Here is a 27,050-nt window from a genome sequence, read left to right as displayed (position 1 = left end):
GCTGCCTCCAACTTTAATCTCTCCAGCTATCAACTTTTTATGGCTTTATTTGCTCCTTGCTAAACCTGAAGTCTAGCTATATTATAAAATTACTCAGTCCTTAGACTTTTTTTTTGTATAACTGAGCTGCTCATCCTTAAGTGTGTGAACCTCTAACTGTCTGCTTAGTTACTGTAGAGTACTTACATCTTTGTTGACAGCTCACTCAAATATCACAAAAACACACTCCTTCAATCAGAGATTTTAAAATTTTATTGCATGTAGAATACCTTTTGAATCTTATTGCATAACTCATAGCAGTTTTCATAAGCAGTTGCCAGTTTTTTGAAGCTTTTATTCTCACCTTGTTGCCCATACTAGTATTTTGCTGAGAAATCACTCTTCTTTCTAAATCTGCCATGCAGCTTCTTGTGCTAATGTAAAAATATTTCTGTCCATATATTCTCTCCTCTTTCCATTTTGATTTACTGAAATAGAAGTATTTTGTTAGTTACATGATTGAAAAATATAGACAAATTGTTCAAATATAAAATGCAATTAAAACCACAGGTATGTGTTGTATACTTCTTTTTTGCACTGCTAATAACAATGATGCCATAACAATTTGTAAATTTATGTTAGGGTTCTTTATGTCTATCACTGCATAGTGATAGAGGCTGCATTTCTAATCTCACCATTGCTTCACTTGGCCATGAATAAGGCTGTTATCTAGCCAATATGCACCAGTGGGTCCCAGGTTGCTCCAGTATGGCAGGTGTGCATTTTGTTAGCTAAAGCTCATGCTAGAGCAATTGTTATAGAAATTCAATGTCATCCTTGATCATATGTTTGAAAGATAATATATATAATGCTGCATTGATGTTTATCAGCTTATGTTGTTCTGCCATTTATTTTCATTAATTTATTGAAATATATATATATATTTACTTTGTGTTTGTCTTGTACGCACAAACAAAATCATCTCCCTTTCTTCCCCACTTATAGATAACCTGTAGTTAGATGAACTTAAATATTTGCCTAGAAACTCTGTCAACTATACATGAAGTGTCTACTTAGTAAAACCTTAAGGCTATTTTTTAAACTCAGCACTTTATATTTCACTTGAGCAATTTCCCTCAGTTCCAATGAAAATGAAAAGCTGAACTACCCAAGATTTTTTCTGTAGTAGAACATTCTTGAATCCTTGAATTGTGAGCAGACAATTTCCTTACAGCTCCAGAAATGTAATGACACTTTGAATCAATAAAGATACATGAGAAGGGAACTTCTAAAAATAGGCATCCAATAATTCTAAACCAAGATTCTTAAATCACTCCATAAGGGTAGGATTGCTTCAAAACTTGGTACTTTTTGTCAAGAGCTTTTTAATAAGAGTGCAAGAGCTTGAATCAACTTTAGAGGTTCATCATTCTGTTGAAAATAGGAAGATCATCAGTCCTACTGACATACCTTCCTCTTGAGCTAAAATAGTTATTTTTTAAAATTAAAAGATTGGAATACTACTCATAGAATCAGACTTTGTCATTCATAGGAGCAAAACCTAGACACCATGATTCATTTAAACTGGCTACTTTCAGTATCTACACACTTGTCCATGAAGGAAGTATAATTCTTATTGATTATTTTTACCCAAAGGGCTATGTCTCCTGTTTTCTCTGCCCTAATATTTAAAAGTGAATTATTTTAAACAACAAAGCAGCACTCTGTATGCTTTTTCCTTCTTTGGCTCTGTTACAGTCTTAACAACAGAATAAAACTAGCTACAGAATATCTTTGAGTTCAAAAAAATGAACAAAATAGCAATAGCAATACTCCCCTAACTAAAACAAGGTACAGCATTTCAATCCTTCAAACTCACTGGCTAATTTCCAGTGTCTTTTTCAATGTATTTGCCATATTTTGCATACTGGATTTTTCAGTTTTAGAACAGAAGCAACATTAGTTCTCTGAAAATATTGTTGAGCCAGTACATGGATTCGAGTAACTCCCTCCTATCCTTAAATAGAATGGTAAATTAGTAAAACTTTGGAATTGGATCCCAGTCATAGCCAAATCACTAACAAGTTATGTCATCTGTGAGGTGCCTCTTAAATTCTGTCTGCTTCCATTTACTGATCTTTAACATAGAGATTATACTAACCACACCAGGTTACCATAGAACAGCTAAATAGAATAACATGTGTCAAATTCTGCCATACAACCTGGTGATCACAAAAGATTAATCTCTGTAAAACTCAGCAAGACATAGACAATCACACTTGTGTGTGCAGACACACACACGCACACATACACACACCACACACCACAGGACAAATAAAGTTAACACTTCTTCCTCTTCCTTAAACTTTCTTCTTCAAATTCAGAGTGGCATATTTAAGGAACAGAAGGATATCCTGACAATTACAATAGATACTAACTAGTTACAATGGTCAGTGTGGAGAAGTTGAGACACAATGAGAGTACCTTGCAAGTCATTAAATGATTCTTTTATCTGGAAACATGATGTTTCAGCAGACAATTTTTGGGGTGGCTGCTGGGTTCATATATTTTCTCCTCTATAAAAGGCCAAATCAGCATGTGTGAAGCAGGTTCACTGTGCACTGGTTGCCAACTTGTCTGGGTCTGGTGAGACAGAACACCCATGTATACAAGTTACATGGAGTGAGTTTATTATTAATACTTACAGATAGGCAGAAAGGGACAACAGAACCCTGAGAATCAATGTGAGCCAGTCCCCTAAGCTTCAGAAACACTGCTTGGGGCAGATGGAGTCTCCTGTGTGTGTGCCCCCTTGCACTGTAGCTGAGGGAGTCTGAAAAACAGCCCATCCTAAGTTTTTTATTCTGGGGCAATGAGATCCCCAGAATAAAAGTCATCCCATATCCAGGGGGAATTAGAAGAGATCCTGGGCTGTTTCAGGCATCTTCCCATAATCTCAAGGTGTTGCATTCCCAGCACATTCTACAGTTATTCTTGAGAACTACAAGAAAGAAAGGGAATAAAACTGGTTTGGTCCAAGCCCATCCAGACAACTGTCTTACAGGATGGGATCCTAAAATCATAGCCATGATGTCTGACTGTGGGACAATTACATTCTTTCTCTCCTCATAAGAGGCATTCAAACTTCAGAAACCCATGTCCAATTCTTAAGATCTAGAGAAATGTTAGCTTTACCTACTCTTCTGACTTAGATTCGATTTTTATTTCTGGAACCTGGAATTTACCTGCCTTGGTTTTAGCTTTAATTGTGCATTAATGACTATAAGGCAAATCACTGGGCCCACAAGGTTTCATACTTGTGGAACAGCTTTCCTATATAGGCAAGGTACTCGGTACAGCAGTATCAGGAAAAGGATATGCACTGAAATGTGTCCTGACAGCTAAGGCACAGACGTATTCTTCCTCATACTGTTGGGTTTCCTGGACCTCCATGTCTGAAACCATCACCAGCGTACCTGCAATGCACTTTGTACCAGGAAGTCCAAAGACTGCCCTGATTTCTTATATAAGCTGGCTGTGTAAGCACATTCCAGCTATGTGACCAAGCCTTATCTATCAAAACTTTTCAGGCTTCACTAAACATAAGTTTAAAATCACACATTCAATTACTGTTAATAAATAGCTAGGATGGTATGGTCTGCTCCCAAAACAACTCACAGATCTATGATCACAAAACATTATTTGTTTCTATTCCATATATTTCATAGCATTGGCCCAAAAGTCTTGTCAGGCTCCCAGAAACCTTGGGAATAAGAATTGGTCAATCCAGAGTAGCTGATTAGCCCATCTTAGGTAGTCTCAGATGCAAATATGTATTAAAACTTATTTTCCTTCATTATTTGCTTCAGTATTTTAATCTGAAATTAGACAAATGAGATGGGGAAAACAATCCTTTAATATTGGTTCAATTTGTTCTATTGACTGGATATCCCTTAGTTTCTTTTCTTTACATCTGAAGAAATAAAAACTGAAAGCAGTTTAATTACTTGTTTAAAATCAGAAGGTAATAATGAGGCCTGATTTTTAAATTGTTCAAAATTGTCATTGAACACTGCTGTGTAAGAGACCACAAATGGATCTGTATCTATCAAGGTGAAGTCTTGTCATATAAAGTCCTCTGTTCATTATGTCAGTAGGTTTGTAATAGGAATACTTTGAACCGGAATACTGCAGGTCTTATTTTTTCTATTTCTTGGATCCAAGAAACATGTAATGTCATACTTACCTAATCTATGCTTCTATTACAGTGGACACTTGATTAAATGGTTTCTTTAACAAAAATTTACCTGGCACCTAAAACAGTGTTTTATGTGTATTATCAATTCAAATATATATATTGAACTTAATTTTCACTAGATAAAACAAAGAAATAAGCTGCTATAGAAAAGTCCATTTCAAGCATAATGTTTCTTTGAAAAAACTCTAGAAAAAGATGCAAAAGACAGCACAGATAACTTATATTTTACATTTGTCTGAGGTAGGTCATATTTTGTTTTCTATTAGAAAAAAATACACATTCATGTCTTGAGTTGCTTTACGAATAAATACAAGTATAAAATATTTATCACTCATGGTAAAACACACTCAAGGGGGCTTATTTCTTCAATGCTAACAGACACACTTGTGAAAGTAATTTTTTTGAGACAAAGTCCCACTCTGTCACCCAGGCTGGAGTGCAGTGACGCGATCTCTGCTCACTGCAACCTCTGCCTCCCAGGTTCAAGCGATACTTCTGCCTCAGCCTCCTGAGTAGCTGGGACTACAGGCTCCCGCCACCATGCCCGGCTAATTTTTGTATTTTAGTAGAGACGGGGTTTCTCCACATTGGCCAGGCTGGTCTCAAACTCCTGACCTCAGGTGATCCACCCGCTTCAGCATCCCAAAGTGCTGGGATTACAGGCATGAGCCACTGCGCCCAGCCAAGAAAGTAATTTTAAGCACCAGTTTTCTCGGCATCATTTTAATCACCATGGATAATGTATATTTTTAGGACAATCCAACAACATTATCTCAATAAATGGAAACTTCATTGTTCCAGTTTCTCAGGCCAAAAACCTTGGAATCACCCTAGGCTTTGTGTCCCCACATTTAGTTGGTCATCAAATCTATTCATATATTCATAGAAAATTCCAAATTATATCAACAATCCATCTACATCTCAAAACTTCAGCTACTACTTCTTTGGCCCAAGTCTCCAGCATCTCTGGGTCACTGATTGCCTTCTGAACTGTCACTCTTCTTTTGTGCTATCACCTCTCCTCAGTCTATTTTCCATCCAGCAGTCTGAGTGATTCTCTTCAAAAGTAGATCTTGCCCCTCCTTTGCTTCACACCTTCTCACAGTAAAAGCCACAGTCCTTACAAGATCCCAGAACATCCAGCGCTTTTGTTTCCTCCCGAGCCTTTATCTCAATTCCTCCCATTCTGCCACTTGTTCACTCGGCTCAGTTTCACTAACCTCAATCTTTCTCAAAAATGTCAGGCACACTTCTGCCTCCAGTTCTTTGAATTTGCTCTTCTCTTCATCTCAAAAGTTTATTTCCCAGACATATACCTGCCTAGCTACCTGGCGTCTTGCAGTTCTTTGTTCACATACCTGCTCCTCAGTAAAGCAATCCCTGGGTACACTACGCCCTTCCCATCATTTTTTTTTCCTTTGATTTTTGTCCTTGCTACTTGTCACTGAAAACATGCCAATGATTAACGGAAACTTTTTCTATAATTATAAAATAAAGCAATCAAATGTGGAAATGACTAGAATGGCCAACCTCCATGGTTGATGAAGCTGTTAGAAAGGTTTAGTTGCCTAAATTCTTTGTTAAGGTGTGTGCTTTCAACTTGGCAGGGGTTATACAATTTAAAAACACAACAGATAAAGATTATTTGTGAAATGCCTAATAAGAGTCAAGGCACCTAACTGAAATAAGTAAGAGTGTTTAAGCCAGGAAAAACAATCATTTTATTGTATTATAATAACAAAGAAAATCAAAGTCTCCATTCGAAGATTTTGGTTTTTTATTCCTCCCTTGTTTCCTCTCCCCCTGTCTATGATTATATCACCTTGACTGGGACTATTATTCAACAGAGAAGTCCTTCAAATGTAATTGCAAAGTCAGAGACCTACAGGGAAATGGGGATCAAAAGCTCTCATCACTCCAGATGCTACAAAGCCTTCCCTTCCAGATGCTACCGATTTTACTCCCCAGGTATTTTTAAATTAGGAATCTGTCTTAGCTGGTACAAGAAGACAAGAGGTCAAGCTAAACCAGATGATTCACCTAAACCTACTCAAAAAAGAAAGTGTCCTAGGAGTCTTGTTGCTATTATAAAGGATTACTTAGTGAATCTGATTGCTGACTTTCTAAATATCTCAGCAGTTTGACAAAACTCGATATCTTGACTTATCAGGCCAGAGTCTGAAAATAGTGAAACCTTTATCAGAGTGTGTCTGTAATCACTGTGGCTGCTCAGAAATACTGATAACTGCTTACTGTGGAAAAAGCAGAAGCGTTGCTTCCTGGACTAGAATGCCACCATTACATTTTCAGGACTTACTTCTCAGCAGAAAACAAGGTGATATACTTTGATCCTTGTTCCTGAAGTATGTTAATAATTACTTATGAATATAATTTTAGAAGATAGATATATTTCTGGGCAAGTAGTCTAAAATGAGAAAAGAGTATATTTTAAAATATCCAATGCATGGATAAGGATAGGATATATTAATAAACTTTTCTTTCATTTGTTTGTTCTTGGTATTGAGTTTATAAAATATATGAAAAAATATTTGATTATATTACGTCTTTCTAACTCAGAAGGGCATAACTATTGACAGGCATCAAAACTTGTTCTTAGACATTTGTATCTAAAGAATGTGAGTAGAACTCAGAAGGATATTATATTTGTTTATTGATCCTTTATTCTAAACACTCCTAGGTATTCCATGTCATAAAGATAACTCAAAGTGCTAAATGTGCTAAAATCAAACTCAGACTTATCCATTCATACAGAAAGAAGGGGAGTGGGGAAGGATAGAGCGATAAGAAGGAGAAAGAGATTAAGGCAAATGCTTTTTAAAATTGTGGAGGATATTTAAGAGTCTAAGTAAAGATTACTATTCAGAGAAGAATAATGTCATTCCTAGGCAGAACTTCAAGCCTATGTGGCCAAAAATTAGCTGTGTGACACAGGCAAGTTTTCTAGCCTCTTTATGCCTCAGTGTTCTCACCTATGAAATGATGAAAGCTGATTATCAGTCAATCAAATGATGAGGAAATTAATACCAATCCTCTCATTGAGATGCTGTGAGGATGAAATAAGACAGTAATGTTAAATATGACTTTAACAGTTGTTATAATAACAGCTAAATGAAGATAATATCTACAAATGGGCTTATTGGAAGGGCTAAATAACACATTTAAGATATATTGAAAAGGCTCAGGAAAGTTATTTTTTAAAAATATCACTAAATCTAATTCTTTATTGCTTTGCAATAGAATTGGGTTTCTTCCCAGTAATTTATAAAAACTTCTGAATTTTACTGATTCATCTACCAGACTAACAAGTTGATAGTAGGATTGTGGATATTAATCAAGAGTTATTGCTGTTTCTAATGCTCTTTATAACTTCAATTTTTTAAACAAATATCTCAACCATGTAAAATTACTCTAATGAAGGATGCCATTCTAGTCTTGTAAAAGTGCAAATTCAAAAATTCTGGAAAAATGTACACTTTTTATGACTTTTTTTTAAACCTGAAAACATAAAATGCTTTGAAATAGGAATAAAAGCCTTATATATGTTTTCTAGTATTTATTATTAAACTTTCTTTTGGGAAATATTTTTTAAATTTATTTTTGTTGAGTATTTTTGTGTCTTTTAAAATGGAGAAAAATATAAAATAAAAATACATTCAATGAAAATACAAAATACAATCCTATTTTATGTGAACATATTATAGATTGTATTATCTATATTTTCGTTTTTTAGCTAAAAGATATATTCTAAAGCCTAGATGTGGATAAAGTAATTTTTTGTTCCTTAATACATATTTCCCAAACATGTTTATGTTTCTGTTAGGAACAAGATTTGACATCTGAAGGATGTCTGTACATTGATCTTCATAACACTAGGGCTTTTACCACCTGTCAGAAACTTTCATTACATTAATAATTCATTTCTTTAGTTGGTTCTCCACTTGTTTTAACATCAAAAACTTTACTGAATTCAATATTATGGTTTATGTGGTGGTTTTCTGATTGAAAGTTCGATAATTTGTCAGATTAGTAGGATATAGATAGAAAGAGTGTGCTGTATAATTTACCAAAAAGGTTAGTTTTCTTCCATGTGAAGAAATTATAAGGAAAGTTTTCATTCTGGATGCATGTTTTAAATGCTTAGTTAATAGTAGAGCATACATTAAAACTTTAATAAATTTAAATGTTAATACACTGAACAAAATAATTTATAAGGTCCAACTAAAATTCATATAGATGATTTTCTTAACCCATAGAGCACAGAAGAAAAGTTCGTCATTGATGACTGGCAAGTTCAATTTTTTTCTTCATCTTACCCATCATATATCCTTCACTTTTTTCTCTTCTCCTTTTGTTACTATAATTTATTGCTGTTATTGTTGTTAATTTTACCATTCCGTTCAAGCAATGAAGAATATGTAGAATATAAGTTAGTTGAATAGTATTGAAATCCAGAGTTTATAAGATTTTGGATTAATATTTATAATAAAAGTTCAAAAAACAACTAAATTACGAATGCTATCTTTAAAGTAGACTTCTCGTAGTCCACAATAAACGGAAACTATTTTATAGATACAATTTCTGAAATATAATAGAGAAAGAAGATAATTGCCAGTATCAACAATATAGTATACGATGAAATTAGAATAAGTAGAGGCAGGCTTTTCACCTCTAAATAGTGAATGTTTTGCTATATTACATAAGAGCAAAGGTTAATTTTGCAGCTGGCTTTAATATCTTGTTCATGCATATCATTGGGCTATGATACTACAGGAAGTTTTCTATAGTATGAATATGAAACCATAATTTTTCACATTATAAATTAATACAGGTTCACCAAAGATTTTTTTGAAAAATTTAACTCAAGTACATAATTACATAATGTCACAAATAAAAATGATTTTCAATTAATATGCAGTAATGATAAATTATTTATTTTCTAAATTGTAGATTTTTCAGGAGCAATTTTAAATGATTCTCTTACCATTTAATTAAATCAGTACATTTTGCAATAGGTTGGTGGTTGTAATAATATTAAGGCATTTGGATAAAACTTTTGATTGACTATATTTGAAAAGCAAATGTTCTTAAAGTGCCGTCTTAACTTTATTGCAATTACGTTTTCCTAAGAAAATTTTTTTAAATGCCTTTTTCTGTCATAACTACAACTTTTAAATCTGATTTTCAAAAATGCGTTGATTTAATTGTAAAAAAAGACACTTATCTTTTGAAAATCAAAGATTACTAATAGTCAATTTAAAGTGCCAAATGGCAAATTAATGCCGTCAGCTCTAGGCTGTCTGTTTTAAAGTCATGGAACTTTCAAGAAATGTTCACTTTGAAAGAATCATGCAATATTGTGCATGATTTTCATCACCATTGGGTGATTAACTTTAAAATTGTATTCTTCAATTAAGTATGTTATCCCTAACAAACTTAAGTATATAGCAAAATTTCTAAAACATGGAAGAGTAAATGATATCACAAGTAAACCACACATCAGGTTCTCTTCCTTTTCTGGCAGCTGGAAAGAGTGAACTTTCCTGTATTTTTTAAGTTAGGCCATAGTGAAATGAATTGCTTGTGACAATGAATATGAGCAAAAGTAATAGCTCTCATTTCTGGGCAGAAGCGTTTAATTCCTCATCCTTGATTATCCAGATCCAGTCCATGTGAATATACGTTTATGAGTAGGTGCCCTGGAGACCAAAGGAACCTAACTAAAATGCTAAGATAACCTTTGGAAGATTGAGAATGCTTGGAACTGAGAGATATAATTCAGTCGTGTCATATCCATTGTTAGCACAACACAACCATTCTATCCTGACTGATACATCCTACATGAAAAAAAATCATGATTGATGCATTTACCTAAGCTAATATGTTGCTGTTATTAAGTCAAGAGTCAAAGTCAAATTCCATTTAACAATTTATTATAGCCTCTTCATATTGCTTTGTCTTCCATTGGGCTTTCAGACTTACTTTCTTCTGAGCTAATCTTCTTCACATGTGCATAGTATTATTATTAGAGGAGTAATTAAATTAATATGCATTCTTTATAAATTCTCTGCCCTTTGCAGTGAAATAAAATCGGCACTCATTATAATTTAACCTTTTCATAGTTTATAATCCATGATGGAGCATAAATAATGTGAATTCTTTAAAATGAAGCTGTCAGAGGAAGAAATTACTGTCTCATTAGACAGCTAGGTTATAATAGTTTTGAATTATATGTAGTTACTTATTAGCAGCTACAATTATACCTCATATGGGTATTTGGAATTCATGCAGCTTTAATAAATAACTTTGTTGAGATGGTGCTCTGCACATGATAAATTGGTCAGTTTTATGTTTTTGTTTAATATTTTTCTTATAATGATATAGTTTGGCATATATATGAATTCAAAATAAGTCAGTGTGGTTTTATTTTTCACCAGCTTATTTTTATTTAATTAAACCTAAAAATTATACTGACATAGATACAAATTTCCTTTTTTTCAAATATAAATTTTCTGTTTTCTTTATACGTTCAAGCTTTCTTATACATTGCAGCATTTGTAACATTAGAAAGTAAATTGTACACTTATTATTATTCATAAGAGACAATTTTTGAAGTTGGGTAATTTTTAACAAAATGATGCTATATCTTCTATGAAAATATGAGTTTTGTTGTTCAAACATTTTAATGAAATTGGATACAGAAACCAATTTTTAAAAGTCATCCTATGAAATTTCTTTATTCATTTCTGAACATCTGGCTATTTCTTGTTGAATTAGGTTTTAAATGACTATTTTAATATTTCTAAAAAATAATCAATCAGAAATACTTCATTATTTATTTCACTGGCTTTCAGTTACAATACCTATTTAAACTAAACATTTACATAGGTTGTGATACATGGAACACATTTTGCTTGAAGTTACACACACACACACACACACACACACACACACGCATATAAACAAACACACAAACAGAGATGTGATTAATTACTCTAGGTCACTGACTATTTTGTTTAATGAAAAGTTACCATTTAAACCATGCAGTTATCCTTTGATATCATGTAGTGATTGGTTCTAGGACCCCTAATAGATACAAAATTCTCCTTATAGATACAAAAATGGTGTAGTATTTGCAATGCTATATTTATTTTATGTAATGCTATATTTATATGTAAAGCTATTTATATATGTAATGCTATATATATTACATTATATATGTAATACATTTACATATATAATGCTATTTATATATGTTTATATATACAACTATATGAATAGTTGTTTTATTGTATTGTTTTTTATTTGAGTTATTTTTATTGCATTTTATAAGTTTTTTTTAATCAGAGCTTGGTTACATCCATGGATGCAGAACCCATAAATATGGAGGGAGGACTGAATGAATATAATAAGATTTTAAAATAAGAGAAATTAAATTAGTAAATTATGTAAGACTCATTCACCTTCAATATTTTAACATTATTTATTAAAACGAACATGTACTTACAATGCTTTTACTATATTCTAAGCAGTGGGCTATGCAAGGAGGATTAAACAAATACCAGTGTATAAAAAAATGCACCACGCGGAAGTAATACTTTTATTAAAAATTACAATTAATAATGAAGAGTGCCCCTGATACGGTTTTGCTTTGTGTCCTCTTGAAATCTCTTGTAATTCCCATAATCCCCATGTGTCAAGGGTGGAACCAGGTGGAGGTAATTGGATCATGGGGGCGGTTTCCCCGCTGTTGTTCTCACGGTAGTGAGTGAATTCTCACAAGATCTGATGGTTTTATACACATCTGGCATTTCCCCTTCTTGTACTCACTCTGTCCTGCCACCATACGAAGAAGGTGTCAGCTTTTCCTTTGCCTTCTGCCATGACGTTTTGTAAGTTTCTTGAGGCCTCCCCAGCCATTCAGTGCTGTGAATCAATTAAACATTTTTCCTTTATAAATTACCCAGTCTCAGGTATTTCTTCATAGCAGTGTGAGAAGAAACTAATACAAACCCTTTGTTTGCTGTTTCATTAATATCTTTAAGCAATTTCTAATTAGATTTTTTTAATTTTGAATTTTTTAGGTATATAGTCAGTGTACATATTTATGGGGTATGTGAGATATTTTGGTACAGGCATGCAATGTGTAATAATCACATAGTGGAAAATTGGGTATCTATGCCCTCAAGCATTTAACTTTTGTGTTAGAAACAATCCAATTATACTCTTTTAGTTATTTTTAAATGTCAAATTAAATTACTATTGACTATAGTGCCCTTGGTGTGCTATCAACTACGGTTTTATTTATTCTTTTAAATTATTTTTTGTACACATTAACCATCTCCCCTCCTTCCTCTCACCCACCAACTACCCTTCCCAGCTTCTGGTAACCATCTTTTAAGGATTTTTTATGACAATTTCTTTATGTTTTTAAGTACTTATAATTTTTTATTTATTTTATTTTATTGTTGTATTTATTCATTTATTTTATTAAGTACTTGTAATTTCATTTCCATTTTGTGCATATACACATTCCAATCCCTATATTAGGTAATGGAAATACTAGTACAAAAAATGTACTTTGAATAATAGCACTTTCCATCTGATAATGTAACAGTCATTGCTATGTAACATACAATTCAAAACATATTGTGGCGTAAAATAGCTGCATTTATTTAGCTGGCAAATCAGTAGGTCAGCTGGAAAATGACTAAGAGAGTTTTGCTCAATTTTTAGAGGTCAGTTAGAGGATCAATGGCAGATTGGCTTTGCTAATCTTGGCTAGGTTTTTCTGTGTATCTGGAAACCTGGTAGAGATGAAAGAGTTGACTCAGCTCTACCTCACATATTTTCTTATGCACCACCATCCTAGATTGGGCTTGCTCTTCAGAAACCCAAGAAAAAGGGCAAAAATATACTAGATAACTTGAGGGAGGCTCAGAATTGACAACCTGTCACTTCTGCCACACTCTACTGACTGAAGCACGTCCCAGGTATATTAGTCAGGGTTCTCTAGATGGATAGAACTAATCAGATATATGTATATCTGAATGGGAGTTTATTAAGGAGACTTGATTCACACAATCACAAGGTGAAGTTCCACATTAGGTCATCTGCAAGTTGAGGAGCAAGGAAGCCAGTCGTGGCTCAGTCCAAGTCCCAAAACCTCAAAAGCAGGGAAGCCGATAGCGCAGCCTCCAGTCTGTGGCCAAAGGCCTGAGAGCCCCTGGCAAATCACTGGTGTAAGTCCAAGGGTCCAAAAGCCAAAGAACTTGAAGTCAGATGTTTGAGGGCAGGAAGCATCCAGCATGGGAGAAAGATGAAGGCTGGAAGACTCAGCAAGTCAGCTTCTTCCACCTTCTTCTGCCTTTTCCTAGCCAGTCTGGCAGCTAATTGGATGGTGCCCACCCACACTGTAGATGGGTCTTCCTGAGGATGGGTCTTCCTCTCCTAGTCCACTGACTCAAATCTTAATCTCTTCTGGCAACACCCAGAAACACCCACATATACCCAGAGACAATACTTTGCATCCTACAATCGCATTAAGTTGCCATTTAATATTAACCATCACACAAGGCCAGCCCTTATGAAAGGGTGAGAAAGTTCACCACATTTCTTAGGAGAATCTGCTAAGTCACATGGAAAGGGGTTTGGATATAGAGAAGGAAATAATCATAGCCGTTTTTTTTTTTCAAGATAGTAAACCTGACATGAAAATAAATGTACATTTTGAATAAACATAATAATGCTTTTCTGTTTTGACATTTGAAATCTAAGGCCATATCATGAGCATGAAAACTGAATGGGTTGCAATTCATAGAATCTGTGCATTTTGTTTAACCTAGTTCTCAATAATGGTAAATACAGTAAATATGTGAGAGAACTATAAAATTTGTAAGTAAATTTCCAGTTTTGTCTTCCATTTCTACAACTTTTTATACCAAAATTAAATACTCATCATTCCTCCAATGGGCCTCTCATTTATTCCTTAACTTATGCTCTATACCTTAGGCCCATATAAAACTTAGTGCTGTACCAGAATAGCATAAACATCCCATTTGTTTCAAATTCTGTTTTCTCTAGAACAAAATCACATATCTGGAATCTCAATCTGACTTTTTTTTTGTAATTTCCTTGTCATATTAATGTACATAACATATGATATAAAGTCACTTCAATTTCAAATATTGTTTACGTGTGTTTCTTCTCTTTGCTATTAAACAGCAAAGGTTTTAATAGAAAGCGTTTTATTCACCAATTTTTATTAGTACAATGAGAGAATTTTTTTAATTAGAAGCCTACAAAGATAAGAATGTTAGTAAACATTGGTAGAATATTTCAACATAATTGTAAAAGCTTTAAAGTGGTTGCAGCAAAGTAAATAATTTAGGAGAATGGGGCAAGCAGAAAATGAAATGTCTACAGAGCTGCAGAGGGAGATGTTAACAGAAATAAACCAGAATTTTACCCTCCCCCCAAACACACACAAGTGAAACTCTAAAACAATTAGAAAGTAAAGGCATGGGTAATTGGGACTTCAAAGGTGATGTGAGTCTAATTATTATTTCAATTTAACAGGTAACAACAATGACATTTAAAGAGGTTAAGTGACTGCCGTAGGTTTCACATCAATATTAATTTGTGAGACTTGCATTAGATCTTCAAATTCAACATCTGGAGTTTAAGAAAAGCTTTCTTTTACTTTGGAAATCACTTTCTGACAATAGCTAGCTCTGTTAATTTTGCTTAAACAACGTATTTACCTTCCACTCTCTATTATCCTGTATTGTTTTTCTAACTTTTTATATATGTTCAATTATAATATATTTCTCAAAGGTTTTAATGGCATAACAATAACAAGATGACAGGAATTTAGAAAAAGGATACTCTCAGTATGATCCCAGACAAGTTAATGATTTTGTTAATCAACTGATTCAATATAAAGTTAGAAAAATTAAACTATTATAAACTGAATGATTGCCCCTCCCCCAAACTCATATGTTGAAGCCCTAACCCTCAGTGTGACAGAATTTGGATATAAAGCCTCTGGAGGTTAGAGCAGATGAGGACACAAGGATGGAGCCCTTATAATTGTGTCAGTGTCCTTTCAAGCATAGACTACATATAGCTTGCCTTCTTTGCATGCACAAAAAGGAAGTCGTGTGAGCACCCAGTGAAAAGGCAGCAGCAGTCTATAAGCCAGAAAGAGAGGCAGAACCTGACTATGCTGACATCCAGACATCCAGGTTTCAGACTTCTAGCCTCCACAACTGTAAGAAAATAAATTGCTACCATGTAAGCAACTCAGACTACAATATTTTGTTATGACAGTCTGAAATGACTGATAACAAAGTACTAATCCATGAATTGGATGTAAGAATTAACTGAAGGAAAAGAATAAACAGTTGACTTTTCTTCAATTCTTGTTGTACAGGGAAATGATATATATGAATAAAAAATATAAAAATAGTAAACACAGCATTACATAAGTAACCCTGCCACAGGCATGCTATGTTTGTATTATTTATAATAAACTGCATTCTAACATAAGCATTTATTCTAATTTTCAAATAAAGATTGCGCAGAAAAGAGTTAATGTAGTAGTTTGGAGACTGATATCCTTAGAAAGGACTGCTCTTATGGTTGTCTGTTAGCTGATCTGGGAACATGGATTACAGTAGAGTTCCTACCATTCCCAAAATTTATAAGAGAAACTATTATACCTAAACTTTTTTTGCAAACAGTATGGTTTATGCCGAATACCTACTTACCTTCTGAGAACCAAGAATTTTGATATATACAAAGCAAAAAGTGCCTACGTGACCAACCCCAGTAAAAACCCTGGGCACCGAGTCTCTAATGAGCTAATTAGAATATGCTAATGAATGAACTAATAAAATATTGATAGACAATATTTCATATATATTGTCATAACTCATTGTTGGAGGATAGGCCTGTGTGACTCCACTGTGAGAGGACTTTTGGATACTTGTACCTAGTTTCTTGTAAAGTTTGCTGCATTCACCTTTTACTTTTGTGGATTTATCTTTGTATCTTTTTGCTGCATTGAATAATAGACATGAATATAACTATATGTTGAGTTCATTGAGCCTTCCTAGCAAATTGCCAGTCCTGGGATAAGTCTTAGGGACCACTGACATAGGCTCAGGGAGCATAACTTATTTTCCCTCCCCATTTTATCTGATTCCAAAAATCTGTGATATGAAAACTCACAGGTAATAGAGAGAATAGAAAAACAGTATTGAAAAAATAGTATGAATATTACCATGAAGCTATGTGGGAGCTCAAGGATGCAGTGGGCGAGGATTCCTCCACTGCACTCCAGCCTGGGCAACAGAGTGAGACCCTGTCTCTAAAAAAGTAAGTAATTAATTAATTAAATATTAACATAAAGGAGAAAAATATACTATTACCTGAATCAAGATGATGTTTGGCATACCTCAGTTTATCTTTAAGTTGTACAAGTGCAGTTTTATTTAACAAGCTTTTATTTAAAGGTGTGTGTCAAAAAGATGGAAAATCAAATCAAGTTTATTCAAAAATACTAAATCACGATCCCTCTTTCTTCACTTCCTCCAGAGTATTCAAAGACTATTTGAATCTCTTTGAATGTTTCTAATAACTTGCTTTATGAATTTGGGTGCTCCTGTGTTGGCTGCATATATATTTAAGATAGTTAGGTCTTCTTGTTGAATTGAACCCTTTACCAGTATGTAATGCCCTTCTTTATCTTTTTTTATCTTTGCTAAAGTCTATTTTGTCTGAAATTAGAATTGCAATCCCTGTTTTTTTCTGTTTTCCATTTGCTTGGTAGATTTTTCTTCATCTCTTTATTTTGAACTTATGGGTGTCACTGCATGTGAGATAGGTCTGTTGAAGACAGCATACCACTGGGTCTTGCTTCATTATCAAACTTGCAAATATGTACCTTCGAATTGGGGCATTTAGCTTGTTTACATTCAAGGTTATATTGATACGTGTGGATTTGATCCTGTTATCATAATGTAAGCTATTTACTATGCAGATTGGTTTATATGATTGCTTCATATTGTCACTGGTTTGTGAACATAAGTGTGTTTTTGTAGTGGCTGGTAATGGTCTTCCACTTCCATATTTAGTGCTTCTCTCCAAAGGTGCTGTAAGGCAGGTTAAATGATAGCAAATTCTCTCAGCATTTCCTTGTCTGAAAAGGATCTTATTTCTCCTTTTCTTATTAAGCTTAGTTTGGCTGGATATGAAATTTTGGGTTGCAATTTCTTCAATTTGAAAATATTGGATATTGGCACCCAATATCTTCTGCATTGTAAGGAGATACCTTCTCACACCAGTAAGAATGGCTATTATTAAAAAGTCAAAAAATAACAAGGGCTGACAAGTTTGCAGAGAAAAAGAAACACTTATACACTGTTGGTGAGAGTGTAAATTAGTTCAACCATTGTGCCAAATGGTACTGTTGGTGGGAGTGTAAATTAGTTCAACCATTGTGGCAAATGGTGTGGCAATTCCTTGGAGACCTAAGAACAGAACTACCATTCAGCCCAGCAATCCCATTACTGGGTATACACCCAAAGGAAAATAAATTGTTCTATCATAAAGATACATGCACACGTATGCTCATTGCAGCACTACTCGTGACAGCAAAGACATAGCATCAACCTAAATGTCCAGCAATAACAGATCAGATATAGAAAATGTTGTGTATACACACCATGGAATACTCTGCATCCATAAAAAACAAAAACAAGATTATGTCCTTTGAAGGAATATGGATGGAGCTGGAGGTCACTGTCCTTAGAAAACTAACGCAGCAACAGAAAACCAAATACCAGAAGTTCTCACTTATAAGTGGAGCTAAATGATGAGGACACATGGACAAATAGAGGGGAACATCAGACTCTAGAAGCTGTCAGAGGATGGAGGGAGGGAGAGGATTTGGAAAAATAACTCATGAGCACTAGGCTTAACACCTGAGTGACAAAAACTAATCTGTACAACAAACCTGTGACACAAGTTTACCTATGTAATAAATCTGCACATTTACCCCTGAACTTAGAATAAAAGTTAAAAAATAAATTTAAAAAAGAATATTTAAGAGAAATTTAGTAGGTCCAGTTATTTGTTAAAAATTTTAACTCCAGAGAAAGCAAATACTTTCTTTGGTCTTCTTTTTCTAATTTTCTACAAGAATTCTCATTGGACAGGAATAGAGAAGAGCACATGAGCTTATCTTAGTCTCACATTTATGAAATACTTTATTTTTCTCTATTTTCTTCAAGCTCTGTTTTCCCTGAACACTACTCTCTTTTCTAAGAAGACATTCATCTCTTTTCTGAGAAGGCATTTCTGCAAAGGCATTCATCATCATCAGGTATTTTAAGCCTGGGTAACACCAATTTTGTGGCCTATAGATATGAGCTAATCTCTTTGGGCATAAAGATCAGAGCAATGAAGTTTGCATGGATAAGACCTAATGCCAGCAGACAAACAGGATGCCTATTTGAGAATACCAGGTCTCAGTAAATATACAATTAGACATCCTTGTTTGATCCTGAACTTAGGGCAAAACATTTAGTCTTTCACCATTAAGATTATGCAACCTGTGAGTTTTTGCAGAGGCTTTTTATCATATTGAGGAAATTTCATTCTATTCCTAGTGTGTTGAGTGGTCTTTATCATAAGAGGGGAATGGATTTAGTCAAATGATTTTTTCTTGTGTCTCCTGAGATTGTTATGTGCTTTTTGTCTTGTTTTCAATTATTATGGTATGGTATTACAGTAATTGATTATCAGATATTAATCCAACATTGCATTCCTTAGATAAGTCTCAATCGTTCAGAGAATATAAGTCATTTTATATATTGCTGGATTCTGTTTGCTAGTGTATTGTTGATGAATTTTGTGTCTATATTCACGTGGGAACACGTGGTGGAACAGTGGACTATGACATTCAATTTAATTCAAAATTACCACTCATATGGTAACATGCCCTTCTTCTGAAACCTGATTTACTTTGCTCCTGGGACACTATTTATAAATATTCAGACAAAAATTTTTAAAGCTTCAATATATTGATCATGTCAAAATTAAAGACTTATTTAACTTGCTTGTACACTCATAATTTATTCATTTTTACATTTGGGATTTGACACTTATAAATAACTTATAATTATTAAATTGACTTCCACTAATTGCTGTTAGTCAAGCTTTTCATATATGAAATGTCAAATACATATAATATGATTAAGCACCAAAGTTGTAAAATTATTTTAATTATCAATCATAGAAAACTACAACTAAGAGTTACATCGATAATATGCAGAGCTTTTGTTCTTGTTAACAGGCATATAAATATTTGAATTTTCACTGGTGTTGTGGGAAATGCCACTAGCTTAGCTAGAAGTTGAAATTTCTCTCTTAAATCCATTTTATATGTCTTTTCTTTTAAGAAAATGCAATTAATTGAGCAGAATGGTTTATGTTTCAATAGTCATATGGGTTGGTCACAAGTATACTCTTGTATCTATCTTGCTGAAAAACAGTAAATCAATGAAAAATGGTCTAGAAATACCAGAAAGTCTTGTTTTCTTCTTTGAAAATAAAATTATATCAAATATGCTTAGTTTTACATCAACTTTACAATTTTTACATCAATTTACAATGTTTTACATCACTTGCTAATTTCAACAACACAAAGGAAATGTGATAAAATGTATTTATTTTTATTTGAGTGCATTTTTCATAGACAGCTCTTACATTTCGTTGATTCCATTCATGCTATTATTTCTTATTTCTTACCTGTTTTCTAATATTCACCCAAATAACAATCTGATTTTACTAAACAAATGCACACTTTCTTTTTCTAATTCTTATCTATTTTCTAGACCTCTGCTTTCTATTTAGTACGGCAATTCATAAGAATTACCGTAATATCTTAGAGTAGAATAAGCATTGGAATTAGAAATCAGACAACTTTTTTTTCTGTATTTGACCATTTGTATAAATCTGGTTGTATTATCCATCTTGCACATCTGAAGCTTGCTCATCCACAAAATAAGAAAAATGGCTTTCAATTGAGTATGCATGTACACTAAATGAGAAAATATATTTAAAAGTGTAGTGTAGTGTCAAGTTCATGTGAGATACTCTCTAAATGTCTATGATTATTTTGTGGGAAATATTATAGTGCATTGTTTAAATTATATAGCCTAAATTCACAGAATAAAACAGAATAAAAATAACAGAGTTCAAATTTAAACTCCACGAACTTCCTGTATGTTTTTGGTACTTTTTTTATCGTCCATATTACTCATCTGTAAAATTAAGTTACATTTTAACTACTAGGGTTAAATGCAAAGTAATAAATTAAAAATTTTAGCAGAATGCCTGATAAATAGTAAATTATTTCTAATTCTTCACTTTCTCTAATTTCTAATCCTTCTCCTTCCACATTGCTCTCAGAATAATCCTTTTAAAAATATGTACATGTGACCAAGTCACTTTTCAATAAAGCCCACTTATCCCCAAGAAAATATCAATAACTTATACTAATAATTTATTTCTGGAATCATCTGACTCTAATGCCCTCTTACTTTCTATACAATTGTTTTATTCATCATTTTTTAACAAGTTCTTTTTTTCTGTCTATATGACTTTGATCTTAATCTGCCTGGAGAATGTCTACTTCTCTAAGATATTTTGCAAACATCATTTACTCCAAAAGACCCTATTTAACCATTTCAGTTAAATACATTACTCTGTCCTCTGTGGTGCTAGGTAATTTTTTGCATACCTCTTCACAGCAAATTATATTGCATTTGTGATTTACATTGCCATTTTTTTTTCAGACGGAGTCTCGCTTTGTCGCCCAGGCTGGAGTGCAATGGCACGATCTCAGCTCACTGCAACCTCCGCCTCCTGGGTTCAAGCGAGTCTCCTGCCTCAGCCTCCTGAGTAGCTGGAATTACAGGTGCCCACCACTATGCCTAGCTGATTTTTGTATTTTTAATAGAGACGGGTTTCAGCATGTTAGTCAGACTGGTCTTGAACTCCTGACCTCAGGTGATCTGCCCTCCTTGGCCTCCCAAAGTGCTGGGATTACAGTAGGTGTGAGCCACTGCGCCTGGCCTATATTGCCATTTTTAATCTTCTGCTAAAATAATGAGAAAAGCCGTCATAAGGTTCTTCATTTGTTTGCCTTTGTACTAGCAGGTCATATCAGAGTGCCTCACAGATGGTAGGTTCTCAATTGTTGGATTGAATTAAATGATTATTAGGCTGTATGGCTAATATCTAGCCAATTAACATTTATTCATTCATTCATTTAAGCAATCTATCATCGAATAAATATTTATGGAACTCCCATTATATACATGTTCTAGGCTTAGTAGTGTGAACAATAAATTGAATAAGACGCATTTATCAAGTAACTTAAGGTCAATAGTACAAATAAAGAGGTGTCTAACACTGCGTGAATAAAATTTAATGTTGATAGAAGGAAAGATTGCTAAAATGATATGATCATCAGACTCATTCCTAAAAATGATATTTTTCTCTGTCAGGAAGTCCAAGTGTAAAAAGAAACTATGGGAGGAATATTCACAATTGAAAAAGCTTAAAATTGTGTTTATCTTGTAATTCCCAGGAAAATGTATAGAGGGACAGAAAAACCTTATGTAAAGGGACAGAAAAGATAGGACAACAGCTAGGCAAATTATTCACGCAAGATTATGACAGTTTATTTGGTTTTGTAAAAAGTATGTGATACAAAGGGAGAGAATTATAACACAGGAGAAAGAAATAATATTGTGTGAAACTGCGTCTAGAAGAGAACAGAGAGTTTGTGCTTGTAAACAGCACCGGAGAGACCATTCTTTCTATAATACTGAAAAAAATAGACTCAGAATTAGGTCAGATGCTGTTATGAGTTTGGAGTATTAAGTGAAGGAATTTCTTGTCTTGTACACCAAATGAAGGTAACCTGACCCTCGTTTGCATGCCCTCTTTCTCTTTTTCCCTAAGCTTCAGAATCTATAAAAGGAAAAGTACATAATCAACCCATACATTGCACACCCCAAGGATTCTCTAAAAATTTCTGGCACAGGTTATTCATAGCCAAGATGCCAGCCACTCCATTATGAATGGCATGCTTCAGCATTGTGTGGGACTTAAATGTTACCATCTGCTAACTGTACATAAGAGTTCTGACAAGTATTGCTTATAAATGTCATCTCCATAGGGAAGCTTTCAACAACCACATATGTGAAATTATTCTCTGATTCCTATCCCCCAATACACACACACACACACACACACACACACACCCCTTCAGTTTCTATTATCTGTTACTGTCTACATCATTAGTTTATTTCATATCTGTCTCATTCATGTAAGCTCCATGAGGGCAATTACTTGTCTTATGTCTTAGCAATACCTGACATATAGTACAGACGCAATAAGTACTTGTTGAATAAATGAACACTGAAGTAATTAAAATATATTTTTCAGAAAAACAATTTTATAAGTCTGATGATCAACACATTTTGATCAAATATTTCTGGCATTTTCTATATTTTAAAAGTTGTTTGCAGCTCAGGACACTCACTTCTCTCTCCCTTCTTCATGTAAGTAAGTATGCTTAAAAATAATTTGATGTCGGCCGGGCGCGGTGGCTCACGCCTGTAATCCCAGCACTTTGGGAGGCCGAGGCGGATTGATCGCCTGAGGTTGGGAGCTGGAAACAAGCCTGACCGACATGGAGAAACCCTGTCTCTACTAAAAACACAGAATTAACAGGGCATGGTGCCACATGCCTGTAATCACAGCTACTCAGGAGGCTGAGGCAGGAGAATCTCTTGAACCCAGGAGGTGGAGGTTGCAGTGAGCCAAGATAGCACCATTGCACTCAAGCCTGGGCAACAAGAGCAAAACTCCGTCTCAAAATAAATAAATAAATAAATAAATAAATAAATAAATAAATAAAATTTGATGTCAGCAAGGAGAAAAAATAAGACATTGTGGCATGCGCATTCAGTGAATATAAAGTACTTCAACCTGAATTTTTCAATCACATAAAAGAAACATTATGTAGCCAGAAATCAAACAATTTTTTAAAGCTTTACTTACATCTGTGAAGAAAATACAAAGGTTTATATTTCAAACCAGATATAATTCTGTCAGACTGATCCAGATATCACATTAACAATGAAGATATTATTGGTGGGAAATTATAGCTAATAATGTATCATAGTCTCTTTTTATTTATATAGAGTGAATATTATTATAAAATGTTACGTTTAGGCAGCAAATATTATGTTTTAAATTTTAAAAAACATCGGCACTACTTATATTGAGGATAAAAAGAACACAACTGAGTAAATTATAATAGGTTGGTATATTTTGAATTGTTTCACATAATTAGTTTATCACAAAATAAGGTAGTAGTTTAATTGTAACACAAAAAATAATTTTAAGAATGAACAGAGTAATAAGTACCATTACTAAACAACTTATTGATAAAATAAGTTTAATATCATTGATTAAAAAATGCTAAGGAAGTAAAGTAGAAATTAAGTGTGCCTTAATAAAGCTTTTAAACGGAAGCATCCAATTTTGGAAACATACGGCAATATTGCCTTAAAAAACTATTTATACAATTTTGTTCAATATTAAATTCAAATTTAATAATATATAAAACGTGATTTGGAAAATAGCACATTAAAATAAAGAAGACGTTTTAAATGATGTTACCCATAATTGCAAACACATTCAAACATCCAATAACAGGACAATGGATCAATGGGTCATAGTATACCACTGATCTTCATAAAGTTCTGTAAAATTCGTATTATGAAAAACACAATGCATGGATTTCAAATCTTTTTGCACCAAAATAAAGTCACACTAACTTCTTATTACATGTCTGAATTGGGATCTAGTTTGAGGTATTAAGAAGGATAAGAGCCCCTATAAGAAAATACTAACGCAACTAACATTGAAACAAGAACAAACATCAAATTTATGCTGAAGCTTGGATGGAAGAATGATCAAATTATTGATGTTTTATGAAAAGTTTCCTATGGGAACAATGTCCCAAAGAAATCAGCAGCTTACAAATGAATAACTCATTTTAAGAAGGGACAAGACAACATTGAGGTTGAAGCCTGCAGTGGCGACCATCCACAGCAATTTGCGGGGAAAAAAGTTTATCTTCTTTGTTCTCTAATGGAAATGGACCAACAATTAATAGCAGAAACAATAGCCAACACCAAACAATTCTCAATCAATTCAGCTTACACAATTCTGATTGAAAAATTAAAGTTGGCCCAACTTTTCTCTTGATGGGTGCCAAAACTGTTGTGCCCACATTAGCTCCAGAAAAAAGTAGAACTTTCAATGGAAATTTTACACAGGCAGAATCAAGATTCTAAAGCATTTCTTCAAAGAATTGTAACAGGAGATGAAACATGTCTTTATCAGAATGATCCTGAAGACAAAGCATGATGAAAGCAATGCCTGCAAGAGGTGGGAATGACACAGTCAAAGCAAAAGTGACTGGTCAATAACAAAGATTATGGCAATAGGTTTTTGGGATGCTCAAAGCATTTTGCTTGTTGACTTTCTGAAGGGCAAAAGAATGATCACATCTGCTTATTATGAAAGTGTTTTGGGGAAAGTTAGCCATAGTTTCAGTGAAAAAACACCCAGGAAACCTTCACCAGAGAGTCATTCTCCACCATGGCAATACTCAAGCTCATTCTTCTCATCAAGCAAGGGCAATTTTGTGTGAGTTTCCAGGGGAAATTATTAGGCATCCACTTTATAGTCCTGATTTGGCTCCTTATGACTTCTTTTTGTTTCCTAATCTTAAAAATATATATTTAAAGGCTGTCCATTTATCTTTGGGCAATAACGCAGAAAAGACTGCATTGACATGGCCAAATTCCCAGGACCTTCAATTCTTAAGGAATGAACTAAATGACTAACATTATTGCTTAAAATGTGTCTTGAACTTGATGGAGTTTATGTTAATAAATAAAGTTTGTATTTTTATTTTATCTTTTAATTCCATTTTCCACACACTTTTTGAAGTCCCCTTGTATTTACTTTAGCTTGTGTCTGTATCCATTTAAATTGAAGTCAATAAAGACTATGTGGCAACATGGAAACTACATATAAGTCTATATAAACCCAAAGCACACAAACAAAGTACACACAATTTTATTTTCTGTGATTGCATCTCTGTGAGATGGGAAAAAACAGTAATAATTATTCACTCTGCTAAGTAATTCTGTTGGTGTAGTGGTTTTATGAGTATTTTTTTATCTCATTGGTTCTATATTTTATATTATATAATGATTTTTTACTTAAACGATAATTGGTTTGGGGCCTCAAAAAGCCATTAAAATTAAAGTGAGAAAGCATTTCTTTTAAAAATATTTATTCCTAGTGTAGCATCATTTGACTTATTTCATAAATCATCTTTTAAAAATACATAACAGAGTAATTCTTTCTCTTTTTGCCTGGAACTTTATCATGTCACAACTCTGGATTAATGATATTCTTTTAAAGTAACTTTATTGGTTTGTGCATTTGATCAATGCATCCTTGGCACTATAAATGCACTGGAAAAGAATCCAGGGAGCATTCTTAAATTGATATATAGCACTCAGTCTGAACACTTTGCAAACCTAGCAAGTTAGACTACCAAATAAAAATTAATAAATGGAGGCATTCAATTATTTCCTGTTTCTCATATTAACCTTGCTAGTTGAAAATAGAATTGTGATAGGAATAAATTCTACCTGAATAATTCAAGTTTTACCGCAATAATTGAGAAGGATTGACAGAAAGAAAATACGTTTTATTAGTCAGGTATCCTCATTTTTCAAAGTTCTTTCAAGTATTTTTCTTTCTCTCACTTTCCCACTGGATATAATACATGCTTGCAATTCCCAATAGAAGTGTCTCATATTAATTTCTATTTGTGTTTCTAGTTGACTTTTCCAAAAGATAGCTACATACAACATCTTATTAGTTTGGCAAATCCTACTAATAATGTTCCAATTCATTTAGAAAATTATTTATTTTTCCTTCAATTTTATTTTTTAGTATAAAAGCATGCTTATTCCAAGAGTGCTAAGTTAAAAATATAAATTATATTTCATACAGTAAATTTGATGGAAGCAGACGCCTTAAAATATATATATATATATTCATGTATAAATTTAAAACTAAACAAATACACACAAACACACTTACTTGAAATGTGATATAGAACATATTATATGTATTTTCCTAGGATTTTTTTCTACAAAATCTCATACATGTGATTTACACTTTTTTCTGACTTTGCATGCATTTGTTATGAATATGTATGTGTCTTTAATAAAAACATGTATCAAATGGGTATCAAATATATGTCATTTGTGTTTCAAGACTTGAGTACTGCTGCATGATCACATCTTTAAGCCAAACAGTAGTTTATACATGAAGATATTTGATATAATATATAATTTATTATTTTATTTAAACTCTGATTTACCAATTTTATAATTACTAAATATTTATAAGCTTCACTGGACTTACATATATGTAACAGAATGGATATAGCCTATTATAGTCATTGAGGAGGGTGATTTGATATACTTGTGTGTAACTCTACTATTGCATAACATCCTAAAGACATTTTCACATTGCTTCGTAAGGGGGATATATGCAGCAGTTATTCTGTTGTTGTTGTTGTTTTGTTTTGTTTTGTCTTTGAGACAGAGTCTTG

At 33.4% G+C, this 27,050-nt stretch overlaps 2 long non-coding RNA genes across 2 annotated transcripts in view; one reads left to right on the top strand and one right to left on the bottom strand.

The window, feature by feature from the left end:
* The window catches only part of LINC00395 (long intergenic non-protein coding RNA 395), a 70,337-nt gene that overhangs the window by 2,425 nt on the left and 40,862 nt on the right, over positions 1 to 27,050 (top strand). The window contains exons 2-3 of the long non-coding RNA NR_047011.1: positions 6,085 to 6,205; positions 8,512 to 8,543. This is a non-coding gene — a long non-coding RNA (long intergenic non-protein coding RNA 395). The remainder of the gene's footprint in view (positions 1 to 6,084; positions 6,206 to 8,511; positions 8,544 to 27,050) is intronic.
* On the bottom strand, positions 313 to 7,303 carry LOC105370235 (uncharacterized). The gene is made up of 3 exons (XR_942017.3): positions 7,228 to 7,303; positions 2,464 to 2,622; positions 313 to 467 (listed from the first exon to the last, which is right to left on the bottom strand). It is a non-coding gene; the product is annotated as an uncharacterized LOC105370235 (long non-coding RNA).

This window comes from Homo sapiens, chromosome 13 (assembly GCF_000001405.40).
Source record: "Homo sapiens chromosome 13, GRCh38.p14 Primary Assembly".
Lineage (NCBI taxonomy): Eukaryota > Metazoa > Chordata > Mammalia > Primates > Hominidae > Homo > Homo sapiens.
This window is presented reverse-complemented; position numbering and strand designations above follow the sequence as displayed.